The 27,041-nt window shown below is 38.8% G+C and overlaps 2 long non-coding RNA genes across 5 annotated transcripts, besides 2 other annotated features; one reads left to right on the top strand and one right to left on the bottom strand.

Moving 5' to 3' along the window:
• Positions 1–642: 642 nt before the first annotated feature.
• On the bottom strand, positions 643–27,009 carry LINC00703 (long intergenic non-protein coding RNA 703). Of its 3 annotated transcripts, NR_108054.1 has the most exons (3): positions 26,778–27,009; positions 19,429–19,531; positions 643–2,800 (listed from the first exon to the last, which is right to left on the bottom strand). It is a non-coding gene; the product is annotated as a long intergenic non-protein coding RNA 703 (long non-coding RNA). The 3 variants fall into 3 exon arrangements; NR_108055.1 differs by lacking the exon at positions 19,429–19,531; NR_108056.1 differs by lacking the exons at positions 19,429–19,531; positions 26,778–27,009 and adding an exon at positions 4,682–4,786.
• Positions 2,596–3,795: an enhancer, noted in NCBI's record as "P300/CBP strongly-dependent group 1 enhancer chr10:4449652-4450851 (GRCh37/hg19 assembly coordinates)". NCBI's record gives its function as "activates an origin of replication core promoter dependent on BRD2, BRD4, P300/CBP, MED14 and CDK7 cofactors, with strong dependence on P300/CBP, by STARR-seq in HCT116 cells {active_cell/tissue: HCT116}" and the evidence as "EXISTENCE:reporter gene assay evidence [ECO:0000049][PMID:35650434]".
• Positions 4,905–27,041, top strand: LOC105376372 (uncharacterized). 2 transcript variants are annotated; one of them, XR_001747337.1, is made up of 6 exons: positions 4,905–5,130; positions 19,300–19,645; positions 21,098–21,162; positions 25,409–25,672; positions 25,745–25,879; positions 26,812–27,041. It is a non-coding gene; the product is annotated as an uncharacterized LOC105376372 (long non-coding RNA). The 2 variants fall into 2 exon arrangements; XR_930592.3 differs by lacking the exon at positions 26,812–27,041 and having other exon boundaries at positions 25,745–26,115.
• Positions 26,644–26,938: a silencer, noted in NCBI's record as "tiled region #7156; HepG2 Repressive non-DNase unmatched - State 24:Quies". NCBI's record gives its function as "represses a minimal TATA promoter and a strong SV40 promoter by Sharpr-MPRA in HepG2 cells {active_cell/tissue: HepG2}" and the evidence as "EXISTENCE:reporter gene assay evidence [ECO:0000049][PMID:27701403]".

The following is a 27,041-nucleotide window of genomic DNA, read 5'->3' as shown; positions in this document are numbered from 1 at the left end:
AAGGTGTCAGGTATGCAGGGTTTCAATCCAAACATACACAGCCTCCTAGTTTCTCCACCATGATTTTTGACTCCTGTCTAGCCAGAGCCATTCTACTACTGGGTCTTCTGTGTTTCACACTGACTATCCCATTGAGAGTGGTGGATTGGTTTTACCAGCCTGCTTCCTCGGTGGACTGGGATCTCATAGCTGACCCTCTGTAGATGCTGGTCAGAAGAGTCACCAATGTCTTAAGCCCAAATTCCTGGTCTAATTAAATAGGGACAGATTCACAAGCTTTTTTAGTTCCCGCAGTGGCTTTACTATTGCAGCAATATTTCCACAGTGCTCCAAAATAACTATATGACTGCTTACATTTATTAAGTCGCTAAGTCCAAAAAAAATTTAAGTATTTCTATCCTAACCACTTAGGGCATCCTTGAAAAAATCATACACATAACATAGGTTGAAAGAAAACTAATATTCAGTTTTATTGTTAAGTAGTTGTAATTATTCAATAATGGGAGATGTTCACCTGTGGGCATTGCATGACTTCTTGATCCTTATTTCTTGATGCACATTGATTTTGTTATACATAGTTTTATCACAGCAACCACCAAAACCCCCTCTTTGCAAAGATGTGAAGTCACCAAAGGGAAAATTCGACAAATTTTGTTGAATTTATTCTGAGGTTTACATACAGAATCCCAAATGCGGACCGGGAGTGTAACTGTATTAGTCAGGGTTCTCTGGAGGCACAGAACTAATAGGATAGCTGTATACATGAGGAAGAGTTCATTAAGGAGTTCTGACTCACACGATCACAAGGTGAAGTCTTACAATAGGCTGTCTGCAAGCAAAGAAGCAAGAAAGCCGGTCCAAGTCCCAAAACCTCAAAAGTTGGGAAGCCGACGGTGCAGCCTTCAGTGTGTGGTCAAATGTCCAAGAGTCCCAAAGGTGAAGAACTTGGAGTTTAATACTCAAGGGCAGGAAGCAACCAGCATGGGAGAAAGATGGAGGCCAGAAGAATCAACTGGTCTAGTCCTTCATGTTCTTCTGCCTGCTTTTATTGTAGCAGCCCTAGCAGCTGATTAGATGGTGCCCACCCAGACTGAGGGTGGGTCTGCCTCTCCCAGTTCACCGACTCAAATGTTAATCTCCTTCAGTAACACCCTCACAGACACATCCAGGAACAATACTTTGCATCCTTCAATCAAGTTGACATTCAATATTAACCATCAAAATAACCTTACATTTAGATAGATCCTACCAAAAACAAACTAAAAAAGAAAAAAGAAAAACAAACACACCACCAAAAAACAGTTTCTTGAGTGTGTACTGTCAAATCCCTGATGTTTGTACCATCATTGGGAGCAGAGGTTGTGTACTGAGGAGGAGGGGGTGTGTTGGAGAAAGAGTCACAATCTTCTTCTGCTGTGTATTTCCACCAATTGCTGCCCTACATACCCTTCCAGATGAGACATCTTGTGGGGGGAGGATGCTGTGACCAGCAAGCCAACCCGATAGTGCCCCCATAGACTTGGCCATTTATTTCCCACTCAGGCAATGACATTGTTGAGCCAACAGAGTGGTCCAACTAATGCCAGGATGATCTGAATCACGCTCAAAGCTCTATGGTGATTTCCTTGATATATGGTCTAAATTTAATTCCATGTAATACATCTCATAAAATCTGTGTTTAAAAATACCCTGCCATTTTATCATCCTGCTATCAAGCTTGCTGCAAGTGAGCCTCTACATTTTTTAATAAGGAAGCATAGTGCTGGCAGTAATACCACAGCGAGAGTCCAGAACACTATGCCAGTGTGCTGGAATTTCTCAGAGGTGCAATTTTAGGCAACAAATGTGTTTGCAGAACCTGAGGGGAAAAAAACAACCACAGGAAAATGAAAGAGTAAAATTCTTAATACAAGAATGATTATAAGTTGGAAGCATTGAAGGATGCATACCTATGATTGTTAGCTGTTATTTTAATTGTAGATCAAAATAAACATTAAAAATAAAAGAATGAGAACTATGTGGGTATTAGAGAAGCATATTGGATTGACCTGCTGTTCCTGAGTTGGGGGCATAAATAGGGCAGGTAGCAGTTATTCACTAAGTCCCCATTGTTGGGGAGCAATTGCTGCAGAGGTTGTGGGTCAGAGCTCTGTCGTCACATGCGATCTGTCTATTGTCCTGTCTCTGTATTGTCTCTCAGCAGTGATTAACTCTCAAGAAGATCTCAGGGGTTGTAGCTCAAATTAAAGTATCATAAAGATGTACGATAAGAAAGCAGGAGAAATGAAGAGCCTAATTTCACTTTTAAGTGCCTATTCAGTTACAAGAACTACTCATGGCACTTATTTTTATGTATTGAAACTGAAAAAGAAAAGATATAGATTATTGATCCTAAACTGAGGTGGAGGTGTAGACTCGGCACATTTAATAGTTTGTCCAGGAACATAGATAGTAAACGGCAAAGCAAGGGTTTCACAAGTGTTGGTTTTATCTGGAGAAGCGTGGGGCCTTTAAGTTACTTTTAGTGCTATCATAAGACTAGAGTATAATTCTCTCATGAGAATATTAGCATCAAGGTATTAACATACTTTATGAGTAATAAATCACCCAACTCAGGCTTTCTTCAACAACAAAAGGGATTTTCACTACAAAGTGATGTCCACGAAGGGTTGGATGAGTCCAGCAGTACACGGAGTTCATCCATGGAGATGCCCTGACCCTCAGGGTCTCCCTGGGCTGATGGCTCTTCCTCGTGGCTCCAACAGCATCCGTGACCTTCGGGGGCTGCAGGCTTCCTCATCTATGGAGAAGAAGGAGATGGAGACAATATTTAATGACTAGAAGTTTTATTTTACTTTTTTTGGTAATAATAACTTTTATTATTATTTTGCTTCAGTATGTCTTGACTCACTACCAGTTCCTTCTTCATCTATGAAAAATAATATTACTCATTCCTCCAAAAAATGCATTAAAGTACTAGGGTATTACACATAAACTGAATACATTCAGGTCAGCTTTAATCAGAATTATAAAATCAGCAACATAAATAAAATGCAAGATCGTGCAAATTTTAACATTTGTCAAAAAACATAGTCCTCATTGTTTATATAATGTGTTGGCTTGAACACTTTTTCTCTGCAGAGATTATGATCCCTGCTTTTGTTTCCATTTGCATTTGCTTGTAGGTACATCCTTCTTCCTTTTTCTTTGCTGATGCAATCTTCCCCATAGTTGGTATATTCCTTGAGTCATGTTAATAAGAGGAAGTTTATACACTCACATATATGTCACCATTTGACTAAGAGCCCCTTATGTTTGTTTGTGACAAATTACCATCAGTTAGTATATGGGCAATTTATGGTGGTGATGAGAACAAACCTGGGAAGGATATGGTTTGAGGTTTATAAAGTAAGCTTACCTAATGTTGGTTGTGACTAATAAATCAACGTTTAATGCTCCACTATCAAATACTAATTAATTCTTTCTTTCCTCCTTCATATTAATTTCGTGTCATTCCAAGTCTTCAGGGGAAAGTGTTTGCAGCTTGAAGCAAGAACACTCTTATGCCTTGCCAGAGAATTTTATTAATTGCAGTAAGTGCAGTGGCTTTGGACACCCGAATTTAAAAAAGAAAAATGATTTTGGAAGACAATTCTCCCCTATGGCAAATATGATATTTTAGGATCTCAATAAATCCTTTGGAACCTAATGGAAGTAATTTTCTCATATCTTTTTTGGTACTCAGATACTCTGGTAATCCAATTACTAAGACCCTTGTATTCCAACACTCATATTAAAAGCAACTTCAAAATACAAAATAAAATAAATTCAACAAATTTGTTCAGAGACCTAGTCATTATATGATATTTCACTCCGATGGCAAAGGCTATATTTGCACCTAATTGATATTCATAGAGGGCTAAAATACCCATTTACCTATTTAAAATTCTGGTAGCCAGCTGAATCTTGTATGTACAATTATAAATATATGTTTTGGATATTTTAATTTGTTCTGAGTTTAGTGATTTAAAAGGTCCTCTATAAATCAGATGACAGAATCCTTTTTATGGGGGTGAGGGGGAAGGGTCTCACTCTGTCACCCAGGCTGGAATGCAGTAGTGCAATCAGGGCTCACTGCAGCCTCGACCTCCCAGGATCAGCTGATCCTCCCACCTCAACCTCCTGAGTACCTGGGACTATAGGCACGCACCATCACACCCAGCTAATTTTCTTTTTGTACTTTTTGTAGAAAAGGGATTTTTCCATGTTGCCCTGGCTAGTCTCGATCTCCTGGGCTCAAGTGGTCCATCCACCTGGCCTCCCAAAGTGCTAGGATTGCAGGTGTGAGCCACTGTACCCAGGCCTGATGGAATCTTTTTTAAACAATATGGTATGGTGAGGAATTAAATAGAAAGTCACATTACTGTACAGCTTTGATGGCTGATAAATGCTAGGTGAAACTGCACTTTGTGGATTCATCATTTTTTGTGCCAGGCAGAAAATGTGGACACAGATACACTCCTCCTGCTTTCTTCTGTGTATGTTATAGAAGATGACAGTAAGTGGTAGAATGGATGGAAGACCCTAGTGTGGTAAGTCTTGCTTAAATGCCCGTGTGTGTCTACAATAATACAGGCCCTCTGACTCCTGGACTCAACACTAGGAGTTGAGGAGGGATTACCTCCATGGAGAGGCATAGCTTGCTCCAATATCTTGAGTCAGAAACAGAACAGCCCTGGGTTGTTGTCTTCCCAAACACTAGCTTTCAGGTGTGTCAATTTTTCAATCCTCATTGGGTTTTTTCAAAGAGTTCAGAATTTTAGGGGTGTGTGAAAGTTCTTTGACATCACAATGTGATGAAAGCACTCTTTACTTTAGTCTCTGTCAAGATGTGGAATGAACCAGGGAGTTCCCAGGGTCTGCTCTTCCACTGGGGAGTGGAAGAGAGATATCCTGTTCAAGGCTGGTTCAGCCACCAGCTAGATTCAGGAGCCCTGACTCCTGATGGAATGGTGAACCAGGGTGGAAACCAGGACATGAAATAAGGCTGCAGAAACTACGTGCTGAAAGGAATATAGTTGTGTGGGGAATCTAGTATGTCAACATCACCAGTGTAGCGTTTACTGCATGGTAAGAATTAAAGCACCTTTCAAATCTCTTAAAATTTTGGGCAGGGAAAAACACACCTACTCAGCAAATTGGGCTCAGTGTGTGTAAAGCTTAGAGAATAATCCACAGTTACAAAAGCTACTGGCAAGCGTCACCATGCCTCTTAAAAGACAAGCTGTGAAGGTCACTATAGGCATTCACATTGCTAGGAACTGTTCACTTTAAAACTAGATGCTCAAATAAATCAATTCTGTTAGAAACCTTCACAAAGGCTGGGAAAAACATAAAGCCCAGATCAAACTTTCCTTTAGGTTGTATTTTAGATTGCTGACATAAAACTATGTGAAAATGTTTCCCCTTTTCCCCTTTTTAGCATGTGTTTTATTAGTGAAGTAGAACTTAAGAGTTCCCCAGACATTATACAGAACTATATATATTGGGTACATGTGTCAGTACCTCTAAATACCCATAGAAATTTTTACTTAGCAACATTTTCATGTTCCTCTCAAATTCCTACAATTATACACGTCAAAACAATTCTTGTTTCTTAAGGGAATTCTCTCTAAATCTAAATGTATTAAGAAAAAGTTAGTATTTCCAGCAACTGTGGGTTACATTAAAAATAGGGACTCCAGGGGGAAATTTTGAGCTCAAAAGGTCTCTATCTCATGGCTTTATACTGCATTTAGGAAGCAATATATAAAATACATTGTAAAAATTTCTAGCACATTTTTTGGATCTTTTTATAGCACTTAGCACTACATGCCAGTAATAAATATGTTTACGTCCCTATCATTTCCTCTACAAGGGTATAGGGGCTTACTGTTAGTGTTTTTGATTCATTTTCTTTCTATCCCTTTTGAAGCAGCTTTTCAAACAGTATGTTCCTTGATGTTAACAAGTTAAGAGGAATAAAGAGCTGCAGTTCATGTAAGCACAGGAAAACTGAGCTAACAAAAATTTAAATAGTTTTTTTTAAAATTGGTGTCCTCTGACACTTCAAAAGTTGGATAAATTCTGAAGTAAACCCTAAACTTACCTGATTATCTGTTACTGTTTTACCATTGCCACAGTAAAGATAGAGACTATTTCCTTCATCCCACAAAGACTACTCTGTGCTCTCTGTAATCATGCTCTTCTCCTTTCGCAAGCTTACAGAGTCCTTCCTTGCTCTGTCCTCTGTGCATATAGAATACTATTGCCGTTTTTAGAATGTAATACTAATGGAATTACAGGGCATCCTCTTTTGTGCCTATCTTCCTTCACTGAGGAAAATATTTTTGATATACTTGTCATTGATAAAAATAAGACATTAGCTTTTATTACTGAATACTATTCTATTATGTGAAGAGACCACGATTGGTTTATCTATTCTTCTATAATAGTAACCGGGCATGTAGGTAGATTTCAGTTTCCACCGTTATCTATTAAGTATTAATCTTAATCTTCTAGTAAGAATTAAACTATTACATCCAAAGCTTTTATGTACAAGCCTTTATTGACTGAATTTTCTTTTCTTTTTTTTTTAGTAAATGCCAAGAGGTAGAATTGTTGAGTAATGTACTAACTATATGTTTATCTGCGTGAGAAACTTCAAGATCATCTTTCATTCCCACAAGCAATGTGTGAGACTTTCAGCTCCACATCTTCATCGACGTTTTTAGTAATTCTATGCTCTTTGAACATTTTATTTCAGAAATTCTATTTTTTAGTTGTAGAATTTCCATGTGATCCTACTTTTCTGTTTCTACTCTTTATACTTCTTGTTTCTCATTCATTGGGAACAATGTTTTGATTTAGTTATTAAAAATAAATATAATGGCTGCTTCAAAATTGTTACCATTAATTGAAATGTCTGGTTCATCTCAGGCTCAGAATCAATTGTTTTTCTTTTCTCCTGAGAATGTGTTCCATTTTCCTGATTCTGTGTATGCCTGGTAACTTCGGATTATATCTGTCGTGTCGTGAATATGAATGAGGAGATTCTGGCCTCGTTAGGTTTCTCTGATGGGCATGGTTTCTTGTGTCTCCGCAGATCATTTCCGGGTAACCTCGGACTATATCTGCGATGTCGTGAACATGAATGTGAGGAGATTCCGGCTTCTGTTAGTTTTCTCTGATGGGCATAGCTTCCTATGTCTCAGCAGATCATTTCCGGGTAACCTCGGACTATATCTGCGATGTCGTGAACGTGAATGTGAGGAGATTCCGGCTTCTGTTAGTTTTCTCTGATGGGCATAGCTTCCTATGTCTCAGCAGATCATTTCCGGGTAATCTCAGATTATGTCTCTGGTGTCGTGAATAAGAATGTGAGGATACTCTGGCCTCCTTAGGTTTCTCCGATGGGCATGGTTTCTTTTGTCTCAGCAGATCATTTCCGGGTAATCTCGGATTATATCCGCAGTGTTGTGAATATGAATGTGAGGAGACTCTGGCCTCCTCAGGTTTCTCTGATGGGCATGGTTTCCTATGTCTCAGCAGATCATTTCCGAGTAATCTCGGGTTATATCTGCGGTGTTGTAAATATGAATGTGAGGAGATTCAGGCTTCCTTAGGTTTCTCCGATGGGCATGTTTCCTATGTCTCAGCAGGCCTTTTTCTTGGCTAGTTTGATCTGCAAACTCTACTCCTTGGGAGGCAGCTCTGGTCTTCGTCCAGATCACTTCATTTAAGCTGAGATATTTTTGAACTATCCTACACGTCCATGATTTAGGAATCAGCAGGAGATGTGGGTAGAGAGATTTAGGTGATCCCTCTTTCTGCTCCTTTTTTTATGGGATATCGTAATCTCCTTGTCATCGTTCTCCCAACCTCGCTTTCCTGTGCCCCTGGTCAGAATACTGGAGGGATCTTCCATCTCTGTCCCCCCGGCACTGGTCATGCTACACGGACTACTTCGCCCCGGGCCACAAGCAACAAATTTTTATACCTCCTGGTCTTCAATGGTCTTGGAAAATGTGCACACCCTCCATCCAGTCTGTCTGCTCTTGGCCAGCCTACTCTGGTGCCTGCAGGCACTCGCTTTTTGTGCTGTGTCCAAGGTTTGCCATTCCTTTCTGCAGGAAGGTCCGGTAGGGACTTAATTTGTCATACATAGAAGCAAACATTTATCCATGTGGTAGCTCATGTTTTCACTCGTAGGGCATCATTTGAGGAACGGAATTTATTAGTTTGAATATAAGGTACCAATTTCTTACTTTCTGATTAGTACTTATTATGCTGTATTTACCTAATGTATATTATCAAGATTTCCTTCTGCATTTTCTTCTAGAAGTGTCAATGTTTTAACTTTCTCATTTAGAAACACAATTAAACAGAATTGATTTTTGCATGTGGTATGAGTTATTGATCAGAACTTCTTGCCAGTGAAAACACTATGAGATCCATTTTGACTTTTGAATTTCAATATGGTTATGTAATTATAGCTCAGCATAGTTAACAACATAGAACAAAATCTTAAATAATGCCAGATACAAAATCAATTTCTAAATTTTATTTATGCTTAGAATTAATTTAGATGTCTTCACAGTAGATACAAGACCCAAAAAATAAGTTGTTACCAATTAATCAATCTTTAAAGTTCTGAACTATGTTGGACAGTTAAAATGACATCAACAAAAATGTTTTGAGCAAATTAACTAATCTCAGGCAACTCAATTAAGTGTCTGAAGGCAAGCATGTAATTAGAATCCTCTCCTCTTTGCCATTTAGACTTTACACGTTAAGTATGCTTGAAGTAGTTTCTGTTTTATGAATTAAAATAGAATGATCTTTACTTTTCTCCCTTTATGAATGAAGTTCTGACCATTTACAAATTTAGCAAGCAATCTATACATGTTCTTTCTCTGTTTCATGAAAGAAATAAAATTATATAGAATCATAAAAATAATCTATAGTCTTTCACGTCTCTTTCATTACCATTTTAGGCATTTTCTGTATAGAAAACAAGAGATAAAAAGAAAAGGGTAAAAATTAACAATTGAGAAAAAGAATTAATTATAAAAAATTAAAAAATAAAATAATGGTAGATGTGATACAAAGAGTAAACAAAAAACACTTGATTTCTCAAGTAAAATGTAAACTAAGTATGTATTATATTTCGAGAAAAAGCTTAGCCTTGTAAAGTAATTTTTTATAATATTCACTATGTACCTGCAAGGCAGACTCTTAAATCACCTGTGTTTAATTTTACACTTCCTGTGTTACTCATCCCTCTATCCCCTAACTGCAGTGCTTTTCCAAATGTGATTAATGATGTTAATTGCCCTGTTAGAAGAAAGAGTCTCATAGATTGACAGTATAACAAAGGTGATATAGCCTGGCCCCCAAACACAGATGGTATTTTGATAGCATTAAATGGATAGTTTATTTGTGTCCATTCTATCTACTGAATATTACATTAATAATCTTATATTTAAAAAATTCAATTCAAAGCAATATTTCACCAATTTTCATATTTAAAATTTGTTGATACATGCACATTGTCACTGATGACAGAACAGCATTGCAAGTGGGATGGAAAAGTAAAACCAATCAATTATGGTTAAATAATGTGGCCAGGCGTGGTGGCTCACTCCTGTAATCCCAGCACTTTGGTAGGCTGAGGTGGGCAGATCATGAGGTCAGGAGTTTGAGACCAGCCTGACCAATATGACGACACCCAGTCTCTGCTAAAACTACAAAAATTAGCTGGGCGTGGTTGTGCATGCCTGTAATCCCAGCTACTCAGGAGGCTGAAGCAGGAGAATCGCTTGAACCTGGGAGGCAGAGGTTGCAGTGAGCCAACATCGTGTCACTGCACTCTACCCTGGGCCACAGAGCGAGACTCCATCTCAAATAAATAAATAAATAAATAAATAAATAAATAAATAAATAAATAAATAAGTTGTCATTTGCTGAAAACCTATTTTGCATTGAACCTCATATACATTTTCCTTTTTTCCCTTGTATTTGTACTTTTCTTCCCAATTTAGTTAAGAAAAAGTATGCCATTATGTTTAATTTTGTATGTCAATTTGACTGGACCATGAGGTGTCCAGATACTTGTTCAAACAGTATTTCTGTGAGTGTGTTTTGGGATAAGATTAACATTTAAATTAGTGAACTTTCAGTATAGTGGATTGTTCTCCCTAAAATGAGTGGGCCTCATCCTATTCATTGAAGGCCTGAATAGAACAAAATGGCTGGCTCTCTTGTGAGTAAGGAGAATTACTTCTGTCTGTCTTTGAGCTGGGACATTGGTATTTTTCCTTCCTTCAAGCTCAAATGGAAACACTGGCTCTTCCTGGGTCTTGAGCTTGTTGGGCTTTGGGTGGGGAACTCCATCATCAGTTTTCCATGTTCTCAGGCCTTTGGACTTGGACTGGAGCTGACACCATCAGCTCCCCTAGGCCTCCAACTTACTGACTGCAGCTCTTGGGACTCCCCAGCCTCCAAAATAATGTGAGTCAATTCCTGGACCTGCTTCTAGAGAACACTGATTAATTTAGCACAGATAGGAACTCATGAGGTACAGAGGGGCATGAGATGGAAGGGGAAATTTCTTATATATCTGGCAAAACAAAGAAGTCAATGTTTATTTGGTGCTATTTTTAACACCTGGGTGAAAAGGAGAACTAAATTATACGACAATTTTCCTTACTCTAATTCCAAAACGAATAAAATACATAAATAAGTGTACTAGTCTGTTCTCACACTGCTGATAAAGACATACACAAGACTGGGTAATTTATAAAGAAAAAGGTTTAATGGACTCCAGTTCCAAATGGCTGGGGAGGCCTCACAATCATGGTGGAAGGGGAAGAAGGAACAAACGCATGTCTTACATGGTTGCAGGCAAGAGAGTGTGTACAGGGGAACTGCCCTTTATAAAACCATCAAATCTCGTGAGACTTATTCACTATCAGGAGAACAGCACGGGAAAACTTTGGCCCCATGATTCAATTCATGAGTCCTGTGCTTTTGACAGTCTTGTCATCTCCAAGAAATTCACTTTTTTTCTTTTATAAAACCACAGTGTGGGGATCATGTGAGATAATATGTGTGAAACAGCTCCTCCATATGCAATTTACCCCACAAAGACAAGCTATTATGTTTTTCCAACTGAAGATCTTTTAGGGCCTAAAATGATGCAAGCCAAAAGCATAAATGATAGGGGCGCTGGAAGGAATTATGTATATTGGTGAAAAAAGAGGTTTTTTTAAATGTTTGTTTTTTAGAGCACTGGTCTTTTGGTAACCCCTCTAAGTTGGTGTTTAGACTCTATTGCCCTACTGTCTGCACACACGTGTAGAGGACGTGATTCACACCATAAGTGTATCTGTCCTCATAAATACTGTAAAAGGAAATTGCCTTGTCATGTAGCTCCTTTCTCAGCAGCACAGAAATGGAATCACACGGCATAGTTAACTTCATTCCCAGAATTTTTTTGTAATAGCAGGACAGCTGTTCAGCATAACTTTTCCTGTTGCTTTTCAATTTATAGTGCATATGATAAAACAGATTTGGAAGTAAAGGCCAACAAGCTAGTAGATGAACTTCATGAAATTCAATTTGATCATGCCATAAGCTTTTTTTTCAATGGAGCATATTAGGTCTCATGGGTATTACCTTTGAGCTAGGCATCGGTTTCCAAACCTGGCTTAAAATACAATTTAAAAAATAAGCTGCAAAACAATCATTATCTGGTAAGCTGCTTTAAAAAATCTTTTGATTTTCTCATTGGTAACACGTGTTTGGGAAGAGAGCAGATCCCATTTTCATAGCCCCATTACTTAATGTTGCCTATTTTGATACTGAAGTTTAATTCTCAAATCAAATATTCTAACACTGAGAAATAAAATATTCAAATATACCAACGGTGATATTTTACAAAACGCATCCAATCTCTTTTACCTTTATGTTGCAAGGTAAAATATAAGAAAGTCTAAAACTCAGAATATTAAAGCTGGAGAGAATTTTAAAAAGTCATTTGTTTAGGTGTATAAATTAACCTAACCATGTGATCAATTGTATTCATTTTATGTTTTAGCTTCACAAATTATCATTTTAAATACATGACTTCCATTTCTGGTATCTGTAAATAATGGCCAGAAGTGAAAAAGGTTGCAGCTGGAAAATATTTTATTAAACCACCAATTCTTTTCCGTGAAGTATTTCCAGAAAGCAGAATTTGCATTATTCTTATTGTTTAAAATGCCAAACAACAGCTAAGCTTCAGTCTCAGCTGGCTTCAAATACCTGTTTTTTAACCACATCATTTTCCTTCTTTCTCTCTCTTTTCTTTCTCTCTCTTTTCTTTCTTTCTTTCTTTCTTTTTTCTTTCTTTCTTTCTTTCTTTTTCTTTCTTTTTCTTCCTTTCTTTTTTTCTTTCTCTCTTTTTCTCTTTCTTTTTTTTATTAAGCATTTTGAATTGCATAAAGCTTCGTTCCATGAATTTTAACTGGGGTAGATCCCAGAATACTGATACAAGTGTTCTGAAAAATTACATTAACTTCAGGGTCCTACGATTTACCTGCTTTTCAGAAAGAACTGCTTCATTAATTACTGTTTGTCCATATCACTTTGAACATTATAGCAGTAGAGCAAGTAGCGCAATTTGCAGAAAAATATCTCAATCGAAGGCCCATTTCCAGGGGATGTTCATCGTTCAGATTTGAAGTGAGAACACTTTCTTTAAACAGGAGCCAACAGCAACACCTGGCTGAACTAATACTGAGGCTCAACGAACTCTTCTTCGTATTTTAGAAAGCGCACATTTTCCCTCCTTTTATTTCTCATTGCATAGAAATCTGAAGCCAAGCACACCGAGAGGAACTATTTTGTAATCATTTTGATTGATCTATAAGCAGGAGGCTTGCAAAACCCCTTAAGAACTCATCCTCATAGATTTGTAGCTCAATTAAGCAGACTCACTTAGTCAGGATAGGCAGGCTGAAGAGTACCAAGGGCTCAACTCCCAAAGACACTAAGATCTTATGCAATGTATTATTTTTAAAAAATATCTTGTTTCTTTGTACTGATACATTTTCTTCAAATCATATGGGAAGGAAACTACATCTCTGAGGTATGCTGTAACTACAGTTGAATTTCATAGCCCCAAATTTTCTTCATATTTTGTCTCCAGGAACGTTAAGTATAGGGTCAGGGGAGATAGGAAATACCCTTGTTATTTAATGGTTCAAAGACTGAATAATGTTTTAATTCATGCTGGCCAAATGACGAAGAAGGAAACTCACGTGTCTGAAATCCACTTCAGGCACCACTGCCCTAACTCTTTTCAGGGTATATTAAAATGATGGAAACTAATAAATCTTTGAGCTCACACTTGGTCCCAGGTACAGAGGTAACTTTTTGTGCTTTACATGTTAATTTTCTCACTGCTACTGTGCAAGGTAAGTCCCAAGAAGAAAAAAAGGCTTAGACATATTTATTTTAATGAAAGTAGGAAACAAATGGGACAGTGGGACTGGGGAGAGAAAGAGAGATGGGACAAAGAAGAGGAGAGGAGAAGAGAGGAAAACTTGCTCAAGAGCCTGCAAGTGCACATTTAACTAATTAAACAACTCACCTAGGGTCACATGGCTAGGAGCGTTGCCAGAATAAATATGTGGCTCGTTTGATGCTAAAACCTATGCCTTGAAAACACTCGCTGCATACTCAGGGCCCTGTGGCAGATACTGATGTGATCTCCTTTTTTTTTTTTTTGGACACACAGCAAGATACATTTTCCAGTCTCCCTTACAGTTAGAGGTGCTCATGTAGGCAAGCTCTTGCCAGTGGAATATGCCATCCCTTCATGGTCTGGCCACTAAAGCCTTTTCACCACGTTATCTCTCTTTCCCTATTGGGAAGCTGAAGGATGACCTCAGAGCCCACAGAAGAGGTCAAAAAGGAAAATAAAGCTACATAGTAGAAGGGTCCTGGGTCCCTGAAACATTATGCAGAAGGCTTTCTGGGAGCAGGTGCTTGAAGTGCTATGTGAGCAGGATGTGAGCTTCTATTGGGTGAAGCTTCTGTGCTTTGGGGGTCATTTGCCATAGTAGGTAGATGTTCCCGGCTAATACAAACACAAGGACAGTCAGGCATCACTTAATGATGGGAAAACATTCTGAGAAATGTGTCATTAGGCAATTTCCCTCTTGTGCAAACATCAGAGAGTGAACTTACACAAACGTAGACAGTACAGCCTACTACACACCTAGGTGGCATTTTGTACAGCATGTGACCAAATACCATAGGCAATTATAACATAACAGTACACATTTGTGTCTAAACACAGAAAAGGGTATGGTGAAAATATGGTATTCCAATCTTATAGGACCACCATTATATATACATTCAGTCATTGAACAGGACGTTGTTACATGGTACATGGCAGTACACAGAGCAGTGTGGCACACCTCAACCTCCTCCAGCCGTATTTGTCCTACTTGACCGTAAAGTTTAATCAGATAAAATATGTCCTACCAGTGTCTTAGCCTCTCACAGATACCAATGCCTCCATCTCTAAGGGCTGAATCCTAAATATTTCCTACCCAGAGGAACAGCATGAGGGAAATTCTGAGCCCTCTGCAAACCATGTTATGTGGGTAGTTGCCTATTTACGTACTGGAGGGGTAAGTCCTATTTGCGCTCCGTTCAATTTTCTGTCAACAGGTAAAAAGAAATAATTAGAAAAACAGAGAAAGTGACAAGTGTATTAGATTCTTAAAACCGTTCTATGTGGATGAAAGTAGAATGTCACCATCATGTATTATTAAATTTAAAGCTGTAAAGAGAAAATAAACTCTCTCTTCACCATTCCCAATATAGACATATGTTTCTCATCTCAATGGCAAAGCTAAAGAAAGGGACCTCTCCAAGAGTGTTCTACCGAGGGCTTCACCTCCTCATAGATTTCTGCAATCTCGGGCCTCAAGTTGAGTTCCATGCCAATATATCTGGATGTTAATCCATGCCAATATATGCGGATGTTAATCCACAGCAAGAGAATGCTGTCTTGCTGCTGTTATGGTTATTAGCATAGGCGAATTCTATTAGCTGCATACTTCTTATGGATATGAGTTTATCTCCACAATATCCTGGAGGGAAGATGGGCGATGACTTTTATCAGCACTATTCTGGTGATTAAGTGGCTAGAGAGAGAAGTGCGAAGCCATTTGCCAGTGTAACGCAGTCCATCGAAAACACAGTCACATTTACTACTCAAAGGATTTCCACTGTTGTGCCCTTAGGCAAAGACTCTCACTCAGCGATTCTTCTGGGTTTGTGGACAAAATTCCTGTTTTAGAAAAAATTTTCCCCAAGATAAAAAAAAAATTATTAATGGCCTTAGTCACTGAATTAGATTCAAAATATTTAAAATAATGACATTTTCTTTGTTTGTTGCCTGGGAATGTTTCCCAAAAGCACTTACTCTAAAGTAAGAGAATGACGAGGAGGATCTGTTTGGAATAAACTTCACTACTGATCTATAAAGTATATAGAAATGTTTTGCAATATTCATAGCATATCATCGTGAGTTTATTTCTGTTCCTTAATCATTGGAGATACTTTAGCATAGTAAGTCTGAATTGCTCAAGGGCCCCTGAATGTCCCACACAAGAAAATGTGTTTCAAAGTATCGCTATATATACAAAATAAAAGGCAGCTTCCTTAGTCTGACCTGCAAGGCCCTCAATGATTCCTTCCCAAACTATCTCCTGAGGTATGCTTCTGCCACACATGAACATATTCTAAAGTACACACAAATCACCCTGCTCCGGAGTCTATTACACCCTGAAACTGTCTTTATACATTCCATGATGCTTATCCCATTCACTTGGAATAACTTTATCTTCACTTGGAATAACTTTATCTTCATGTTAATTTTACATTTTAAATTCCCTTTTCGTCTTTAAAATACCAGACTTAAAATGCTACAATTTCTCTTGAATTCCCAAATTACCTTTGTGGGATCACCGAGTTCCTCTCATGCCTCCCATACTATTTACCAATGGCTTGTGTACCCTAGGAGCAAAAAAACTGTCATGTTCAGTCTTTTTTAAATTATCTGTAAGGACTAGTCATGTGTTTCATATGTAGTAAGTGCTTACTTCTCATATTCAACCATTGTTTGATGAAACTGTTTCAAACTAACTTTTTCTCACATGAAAGAGCTACATTTAGATTTGGAAAGGGATGTACATTCTCCATAGGACCCAAAGGGGTAATAGCATATATTCCATTGCACTAGTCATTTTGGATTAAGGATAATCTTAGTTTGGATTCAGCTATCATTGTTTATGTGTTCTGTGTTTTTCCTGGGCTTCCCTCCATTGTATGGAGATTAGAATTTTAAATTTTCTAAAGAAGTTTCTAACACATCAGATGATGTTTATCTAGGTTTTTAGATAAACATATGTTCTCTTGCTGACTATTTAAAATTAAACCAACATACCAATAATACCAGATATTTTCCTGAACAGTCCATCTTATTTATTTATTTATTTATTTATTTATTTATTTACTGAGACGGAGTCTTGCTCTGTCGCCCAGGCTGTAGTGCAGTGGCTTGATCTTGGCTCACAGTAACCTTCACTTCCCAGGTTCAAGCGATTCTCTTGCCTCAGCCTCCCAAGTAGCTGGGATCACAGGCATGCACCACCATGCTTGACTAATTTTTGTATTTTTAGTAGAGACAGGGTTTCACCATGTTGGCCAGGCTGGCCTAGAACTCCTGGCCTCAAGTGATCCGCCCGCCTCGGCCTCCCAAAGTGCTAGGATTACAGGCATGAGACACCACACCTGTCCCTGAACAGTCCTTTTTAAACAATATATCTGAAGGATGTATTTTCATTTCTAGAGGGACATTTATACTTAAAAATAAACAAAGGCAACAAGGATGACTAGGCCGATCTCTCCTAGGAAAAAAAATATAGCCAAAGTCATGAGGAGTGGAAGAAAATGATTACCACAAGTTACTGGGGTTAGAAGCACTATCACTCAAGGGAGCGTATTTTTAAAATTCAGGTGTATTCAGGAGATTGTCTAGTTTATTACGTTATCAAGATATCCCTTCACTAGATCGCCCTCAAATCCTTTATATGACAAGACAGTCTGTCCTTGAAGGTTTTTATAAAATTGCTTAAATCTTAATCCCACATTTAGTGGAAAATAAAACACTCTCCCACATTTACAAGAATTCTCTGGAAAATTGGGGTGGAGTCTAATGAGATTGCTGTAGTGAAGGCTATGGTACTTGTCCTGTATACTTATATCTCCCTTTATTCAGTGTATTTACAGATGTCAGGTTCAGCGAATCATTTGTATTTAAGGATACAAAAATATATCAGGGAAAAATGAAGTTGTAGAAATACAATTTGCTGCTTTTGTCATTGCATTTAATAGACCCTAAACACAATTAACATAAACCAAAAAATATGAAGAGTGTGGGAAGTGTTTCTGATAGGATTTGTGAAATTTAAAAGGCCAGTCCCTAAGACATAGGGGCGCTGGACCACCTCATAAATCCACACTTCAGAGCGTCACCATTGACCAGGTTCTGCTGCCAAAGGAACCTATACTTGTTAATTTTCAATGTCAAATTCCACATTTCTCGATGGAACATGAATGGCTCACATTGGAATAAAGGTTCTATAACTAGAAACGTCTTTCTTGTTTTATAACCAGGCAGGCAGGCAGGCAGGTAGGCAGGAGAACAGAATGGGCTACTCAAATCCCACAGTGCTGAATCTGGAGCTTTGCGTGGAGAAAGAGAACGTAGAGGTGGTTTATTTTCGTCTTCACCTGACAAGGATCCTGAGTCTGTGGAGAGTTGAGGGCTGTGCCCAAGACTTTGCTGGAGGCTTCGCTTTAGCTAGAAGAGAGGACTCCTAATTCCCACTTCTTTACTGTGTTTAATTGACCTGGAGATGCATGATGGAAGTTAGATTACAAAGACTGGAAGATTGAATGGATATTAAATCACCAGGTCTTCAAGGAAACAGGGGAGAATTCTATGTCTTGAACTTATAATCTGAGAAGGTAATTCAAGCATGGAGAACACCAATGAGGCACTTCTGCTGGTTCGTTGCATTTCCCTATGTCACTGCTATGCAGCGGCAAGCCGTAGGAATAAAAATTGTTAGGAGAATATAAATGATCATGTAGCATCATTTTCTCAGCTGCAGACTTTATCTCAACATGCAGCGTTTAAGATCCTTTTCACTCTGTGTCGGATTGGGTTCCTCGTCCCCATTCAATGTGCCCTCCTGTTTGAGACACGCAGTCCAGCCTGATGGCTCACAAACTTAGGTCCCCACGCCGGCCGCATCAACATCAATGCAAAACTTGTTAGAAGTGACATGCTTAAGGTACTTCCTGAGAACTGTGGAATCAGAAACACCGGGAATGAGGCCCAACAGTCTTTCTTTTAACAAGCCTTCCAGGTAATTTTGATACATGCTAAAGTGTGAGAACCACTAACTCTAGCCTATTGATATTGCCTTTTTAAACACTATCCCCAGCCAGGTGCGGTGGCTTATGCCTGTAATCCCAGCACTTTGGGAGCCAGGGTGGGCGAATCACTTGAGCCCAGGAGTTTGAGATCAACCTGGGCAATGGGTGAAACCCTGTTTCTACTAACAAAATACAAAAAAAACAGAGAAATAGCCAGGCATGGTGGGTGGGTACCAGCTCCTCAGGAGACTGAGGTAGGAGGATTGCTTGAGCCTGGGAGGTCGGGCCTGCAATGAACAGTGTTTGAGCCATTGCATTACAGCCTGGGCAACAGAGCAAGACCATCTCACAAAAAAGAAATTAAAAAATAAACACTACCCCCAATAAATACTTATTTTATATGTAGCTGATTTTAGTTATTTTCATCTGAGCAAACTTAGAGTACATTGTATATGTACAGTATTATTCTAAGTATTTTAGAAATAGTAACTAATTTAATCCTCTAACAGCCCTATGACATAATAGCTCTATCATTTCAATCTTACAGTGGAGGAAACAGGCACAGAGTAGCTGGTGGAAGATGTGAGTCCCGTGCTGGGAAGCCTGGCTCCCAAGCCACCCTCTCACACAGGATCCTAATAAGACCACTCGTGACCAGCCCTCAGCTCACTCTGGGCTACCCTTCTCAACCCTCACTTTGAATATGCATTTGTTATTTCTACCACTCATTGTCCACCTTCATTCTTGCAGCAAGAACTTTCCAGCAGTCCCTGGGGAACACTTCCTCTAATCCCTTGCTAACTAAAATGAAGTGTGGCATCAGCCCAGCAGCGGCAGTGCCCCCCGGAGGTGTTAGAAAGGCAGAACTTCAGGCTCTACCTTGGAGCTGCTGAATCTGAATCTCATTTAACAAGATCCTCAGGAGAAGCAAATGCACTGTCCTACCACAGTCTTCATAACATTCTTCCAGGGACAAGTCCATCTGCAAGATGCAGAAATGAGCATTGATCTGGGGGAATTTGATCAGCAATAATCAATCCCTCTAGCCACAGGAACTGGTGCCTGATAATAACATAATGCAAAGCAAGGCAATAAGGTGAGTGAAACTTGAGGGGCATGACTTCTTGTGTGTGTTTTTGGAGGAGAGAGTTTCCCTGTTACTCTAGACTGGATGCCATTGTGACGTGAGACTAAAGACGCCAGACTCCACCATATAGAGCAGGGTATGGAGCCAGTCAGGTGATATGGAGCCCCAGACAAAGACAGGCCCTGCAGCATCTTTGTCTGGTGCCAGGTTTTCTTTTAACCTTTTAGTTTTGTGAGTCAATCAATCTCCTTTTTACTGAATGCAGGTTGAGTCCTGTTTTTGTTTCTGGGTCACATATGCAGTAAGACATAGATACCAGTACAACATCTGCTCTACTCATTGGGTACTTTATTAGCTCTCACCCAGGGTTGTTAATAAACACCTGTGTAGGTGTTTTTATCTCTGCAGATAGAGTGTAAGTTCCTTGAGAGGATGATACTACCTTCTACCTTTTTATTTATTTATTTATTGTTGGTGACTGCTATGATGCCTTGTAGAGTACAGAGTAGTGAACATGTTATTTTATAGTGAATAAAGAAGAATGAGTTTAAGAACATTAATTTGCAATGTTTAAAATGGTCAGAGGAGGGAGGACATTTAGTTCATCAAATTTTCACTGGACGCTGTCCAGGGCCATAGACTAGGCTGTGCATTGGCGATGCAGAGGTGGTTAAAGTATGACTCCAGACATCAAATATACTACAGATCATGGGGGGAATCACAGTAACTTTTTAATAATTTTCAACGGATGTAGGATAATTCATAGCACTCTTATGCTGTATACACAGGAGGCGTATTTCATAGCTGAAGGTAGAAAGCAGATTGATTAAGCAAATTAAGGAGTATGATGAGTAAAAATCAAAAGTGGATTTGAATCCAAGTGAGTTTGATTAGAAATACAACTTCCCCCACTACACGAGTAAACCATTCTGAGTTTTTAATTTCTTGGTTTGTTTTCACCATTGCGTGCCTAAAAGTTGGCTTCAAAAAGTTCCCCTTTTTAGTAAATTGTAGAATTTTTATCTATGAGAATGCTTGTCTACGCAAGCATTTCCACATGTGTTTAAATCCTCTTGGCTAAAATTTATCTAATTGGAATAGTTAATAATGTTTGATGCATTACTCAACATACTGATGGCATCATTAGTTGAGAGCTGTGTCCTTAAATGAGGTGAGTTCTTCCCCTACTGAACATGTGCATCAGCTCTGCCCCCACAGGCTCACTTGTCCTGCATGTCATAAAAGGAGGAACTCATAAACTCTGGATGAAGACAGGATCCCTGGTATCTTGTGATTTCCTGGACTCATCTTCTGTCTATTTAACTTTTTCACTATATCCTACTCATATTAACACAAGGGTATTTTAATATTCTTCAGATGCCTGCCCCGGCTCTTCAATACTTACGTCATGTTCTTTTTAATTTGATGACAAGATTAGATGTTGTGTTCTTGTCTTCCCAGCCTCTAGCAAGCCTACTGACTTGACTTGGAAAATCTGTGGAGTTTTGACTCACTATCAGCTACAGGTATGAGCTTGGGTGTAATTTTAAAGGTATTTTCTATACCACTTAATAACTGCATCATCTTGGCAAGTAAGCTCTCTAGTTAAGGGAAGATATTTAATCTAAAAATGTCCAAGTTTAATCATATGTCTACAGTTGTTAAAATACAATATGTATGGGCTTAGGTTTTCAGTTTTAACATGAAAGAACTTGGAGCTGTCACTCTGTCCTTACAATAGAAAAAATCTGGAAAAACTGAAAACAACTTTATAAGAGCCATCAGAGAACTGAGGTTGCAAAGCAAACTACAGCACCAACATCTGGAGAGACAGGTTCATCTGGAGAGACACAGCCCAGAGGTGTTCACCTGGAACAGAAGCTGCTGGATCCCTGAGGGCTAGGAACACTGGCATGGTCACTGGAGGACCTGCGGGAGGCTTAGTGTCCAGCGTGGCGCTGCAGTCTTAGGGGAGCTCGCACTTTCCTGGACTTTACCTCCAGGAACCCACACTTCTTACAGTGAAAATCAGAGAAACATCGCCTCTTGGTCATTTCAGGGGGGAGATAAAAGTAATCGTTGTAAAACACATAACTTTTTCCATAAAAAAGACCTACACACTAGGGAAAAAGATGCTGTCAAAGCCATATCCCCGTGGGGGAAGGGTATTCCTCCAAAACCCACAAGCAATAACAGTCAGGACTTCAAGGAAATAGATGGAGAATATCAAGGCCATAGAAGGAAGAAAGGATAGTGGAGAGAAAAAAGCTATACCACTGGAGAGACACTTGTGAAAGCTACATCTCCAAGACACTGTCTCCTGAAACATTGATATGTAAAGGGAAGATGGTATACACTCCCCTCCTCCCCACCTCCCCACCACGCCCGTAATATAATAACAGTGAATTACAGACAGATGCACTGCAAGGCACAGGCTCTATCTGAGAGATGAAGAGTTGAATTTTCCACGTGGCATAACAATCCTCAAGGTGCGTCCATTGAGGGTAAAAATACATGTGACAAAACCTGATGGAACTGAAGAAAGAAATACACAAATCTACTGCTACAGTTGGAGACTTCAACACCCCACCTTTTTTAACTGATAGATTAAGCAGACAGAAAATCAGTAAAGATATGGTTGAACTGAAGAGCACTATCAATCAACACATACAAATTGACATATATAGAATACATTAGTAACAGTGGAATACACATTCTTTTCAAGTTCACAGGAAATATTCACCAATATAGACCATCTTGTGGTCTAAAACGCACTCCTTAACAAATTTAAAACAATAGACATCAAACAAAGTATGTGTTTACAACACAGTGGAATTAAACTAGAAATCAATAGCCAAAATATAGCTGGAAAACCCTCCAAATATATGACAATTAAACAATATATTTTTAAATAATTTACAAGTCGAAGAAGAAGTCTCAAGAAAAGTTAAAAACTATTTTTAACTAAAGGAAAATGCATCTTATATAATGGGCCGAGTGTGGTAGAAGTGGTTCTTAAAGGGATTTTATAGGATTGGATGCATACTTAGAAAAAAATCTACAATCAATAACATAAGCTTCCACCTAAGAAATGAAGAAAGAACAATGTAAGCCTATAGCCAGCCATAGAAAAGACATAACACACACTAGAGCACAAGTCAATGAAGCTGAAAACAAGGAAACGATGGAAAAAAATCGGCAACACAAAAAGCTGCCTGGTTCTCTGAAAAGATCAGTAAAATTGCAACACCTCAAGCCAGGTTAAATGAGAAAAAGTTTTTTTAAAAAGAGAGAGAGTGAGAAGGCAAAATTTAAAAATACCAGAAATCAAGTAAGATTTACTACTGATTCTATGGAGATTAAAATGATATTAAAGGAATACTATGTACAACTCTATGTCATACATTTGATAATTTAGATGAAATGGATCTATTCCTTAAAAGGCACAAACTACCAAAACCCATAAAAGGAAACCTATATAACTTGAGTAGTGCTATATCTGTTAAAGAGGTGGAATTAATAATTAATGACATTAAAAAAATCAGTCCCAAAAGGTTTCACTGGTGAATTCCATGAAATATTTAATGAAGAAGAAATACCAGTTCCCTTTGACCTCTTCCAGAAAGTAGCAGAGACACTTTCTCATTTTATGAAGCCAATTTCTATATGCTTTAGTGCTGATAATTTACTACTCAGGATGATTTTTAAAAGTTATTTCTGTAATAAGAAGATACATACTTTTTTATATTTTTTGAGACAAAAAATAATGATGAAATATTCTTTACACCAAACCCCCATGACACAAAATTTACCTACATAAGAAACCTGTACTTGTACCCCCGAACCTAAAATAAATGTTAAAAATTTTTTAAAAGTCAAAAGAATAAAAATAATTTGCTTAAAATAAAATCCTAATGGAGCTCTTACTGCAGTACTTGAACTCTATGAAAATAGTTAGGAGAGATACTAATGGGTATTTTTTTTAGTAAGAAAAAGAACATTTTTAAAAATCAGTTAATTCCAAAGTATCACAGCGTTCTGTTCTAAAAGCCAAGGGGACAGCAAACTCTGTTTTGGGGGTAAATTTTACTAAAATAGAACAATTAGAACTAACTTTTGATTTTGAGGAATACCACTAAGAATATCCCCAAGAAAACATTTCATCAGCATGGTGGTGGTCCAGTGCTTGGATTAGATTTTCCATGTAATTTGGGCTGTCTATAATCTCTTACTAACCATTATCATCAACATCAATCTTGTCGGCAGCATAGAGAAGTAAACTAAGTCAAGAACGATTTTCCTAAAGACTAATGGAAAGAAGACATACATTATTATGAATTTGGATAATTTGTTTTTCAATATGATATGGTTTGGCTGTGTCCCCACCCAAATGTCATCTCAAATTGTAATCCGCATGTGTGGACAGAGGAACTTGGTGAGAGGTGATTGGATCGTGGGGGTGGTTTCCCCCATGCTGTTCTCATGATAGTGAGGGCACTCTCACAAGATCTGGTTGTTTGATAAGTGTCTGGCATCTCCCGTTTGCTCTCTTTTTCTGCGGCCTTGTGAAGGAAGGTACTGGCATCTCCTTCACCCTCTGCCATGATTGTAAGTTTCCCGAGGCCTCCCCAACCATGTGGAATTATGAGTCCATTAAACTACTTTTCTTTATAAATTTCCCAGTCTTGGGCAGTTCTTTATAGCAGTGTGAAAATGGACTAATACACAATATAAAATATACCACAGCCTTAATATGGGGAAAAATATGTAACCTCAAATATAGGGTTAAAACATACCCTGTGCTAAACCTATCAGCTTATCAGAGTTGGAGTGAGAAAATATGACCTTTTTTCCCAGCCTACGATCCACCTTCACAAATCCAGATTCCGGTTTGAGCACCCACTCATCATTCAGCGGCTGGCATTTGAGATTCCCATCCCCTCCGGAGAGACTCATCCTGATGCCCACTCCATCCCACCCAATGGGACACCTAGCTCTCAACATAACCTCACAAACCCATCACCATATGAGAGGGCATTATAAGTAACAAGGCAGGGTTTTCTCCAAACACCAAGTGAAATGGCCAATCCATAACCTACTCACTGATGCAGAATTCTTAGAGTTGGAGAAACTAGCTCCAGGGAGGTCATAAGATGTGAAGGGAGGAGCACAGAGCTAGGAGATTGGAGGCCTGGGTGGATTCCCAATCTCAGAGTGCACACACCACGGTCCACCAGGGAAGTCATTTAATTTCTCTTACCTTAGCCCACTCAACCATAAAGTGGAGGGAATATGTAAAAGAGGACTGTAGATACCATAAAATAAAATACTATATATGAATGATCTATTACAGTGTGGTGTACATGGTAGCTGCCCAATAAATTAAAGAAGTGATTAGAATGAATGGGTTTTACTCATGATGTGATCATTTAGTTTTCATACCACTTCTGTTACTATATCTGATGGTGATGCTTGCTTTTACTTTGAGCACAAATCCACATTAACGGGCACAACAGCATGATAATAGTTACCTTTTTCCCAGCCCTTCACCTCTGCAGGGACTTCTCATGTTAGTTGACAGTGTGGGCGGCAGGTGTTCTTGTCTTCACCTTCTCTGTTGAAAGCTGTGCACCCCCCATGCTCTAACACTTTACTTTACTTGATCGTGTTTCCTGTTATCCCCCCAAATAGTTGTCTGTGTGTTTATTGCTTCCCCAACCAGAATGTATGTTTCATAAACAGCAGCTTTGTTCTCTTTTTTTCCTCTGTAAGCTGGAGCAGTGTGCAGCGTGATGCATGTGCTCAGTGCACGGCTGCTTAAATGAGAGGACACACACATCAACTCCCCTTATACAGAGGAGGAAAAGGAGCTTTGTAAAAGGACATGGCAGTAAACCTCCCGTCTGAGCCTGTAGCTCATGCCTTTGCATGTTTCAGCAAGAATGAAGAATATCAGTCAAGAGTTTCCACATCACGCCTGCCAGGGCTATACCCTGGGTATTTACAGAGTCGAGGACACTGAGACCAATATAACAGGTAGATTGACTGTGATAGAAAAGACGCCTCAAATACAATTTATTCAAGTCTAAGAAATGAAATCTCATTCAGTTTCAGGCCTCATCAACAGCAGGGAGAACCACAAATCACAAACTTCTTTTGCACTGGGAAAGGTGTTGCCATGGGAACAGGGCTGCTGGCCATTTGGCCATCTCACTCATCTCTAGAGGAAGGCAGGTGAGGAAGGTGAGAGTCACAGTCAGGTAGGAAGGCCTGCGATAAGATCCAAGGAAGATGGGGGATGTACTTCTACCATGTGTCATGTTGGTAGCAAATGCAGTAAGAATAAAATGTCACCATCTGATCCACATTACATCTGAATAGAACATCATCTAGCGGCGTTTCCTTGCCTCTATATGATTATAGGCTGTGTTGACATCAAAGAGATATAATAAAGCATATTGGCCTAACAGAACATATTATCATAGAATAAATAAAAGTCCTAAAAAATGAACAGGGGACAGATTGTAAGTGGCTGGGTTTATGCCCATGCTAAGATCACCAAAGCTTCTAACCTCTGGGAGATGGGAAATCATGAGTCTCATAGCCTGGCAGGCTATAGTCTAACAAGACTGGCTTCATGCATATATATTGATCTTTTGATGGTGGTCAAGCATCCCAAGCCATGGACCCTGTTGATATTAAAAATGTGATGACACCCAAAAAACAGTGTGAAATCAGTAGGAAAAAGATTTGAATAAAACGACCAACCCACAGATGTCCAGGGACAAGACCAAGACAATTCCTACCCTGACACAGTGACAAATAGGTGCTAAGTGGACATCATTCGTTTCCTATCTTGTTGGTCTTTCCTGTTGACAAATACCTGTTTAAAGCATGTTTTAATGTTTTCCTCAGTAGGCTCTGCGAAATAAAACCCAAATGGGAAACAGTTCTAGCATATGATCCTATGTAAATTAACAGCAGCAAAAAAGAGGGAAAGAAGAAAAGAAGGAAACCCTCCTTAACACCTCCTTTCACTCACGTTTCCTCATATTTTCCCTTAGTCCTTCAATAGAGCAGCAGTAGAAATACAATGATTTATGAATTCCACGGGGTGAATTCTTGAAGTAATAACACTTACCACCATGAAGTTCTCAGATTTCTTTTCCAAACAGGAACTCTGAGAGCAAAGAAAATTGCTGGACTCTCACGGCCAGGCATTTCATTGTATAGTCCTGGCAACGTGACCCTAATGAGAAGAAGTCCATACTTCAGTTTTGGTTTAGAATTCAGTGACAGTTTGATTGTGGGCTCAACCTCTTCTGCTTCCATTGGAATGTGAGTTACATGCTGAATTAATGAGCAAAAACATTAAGGCTTTGAGTCTGTTTTGCGCTTTCCTAGT

Source organism: Homo sapiens, chromosome 10 (genome assembly GCF_000001405.40).
Source record: "Homo sapiens chromosome 10, GRCh38.p14 Primary Assembly".
Lineage (NCBI taxonomy): Eukaryota > Metazoa > Chordata > Mammalia > Primates > Hominidae > Homo > Homo sapiens.
Note: the sequence above shows the minus strand (reverse complement) of the source record. Positions and strands in the feature narration are given on the sequence as shown.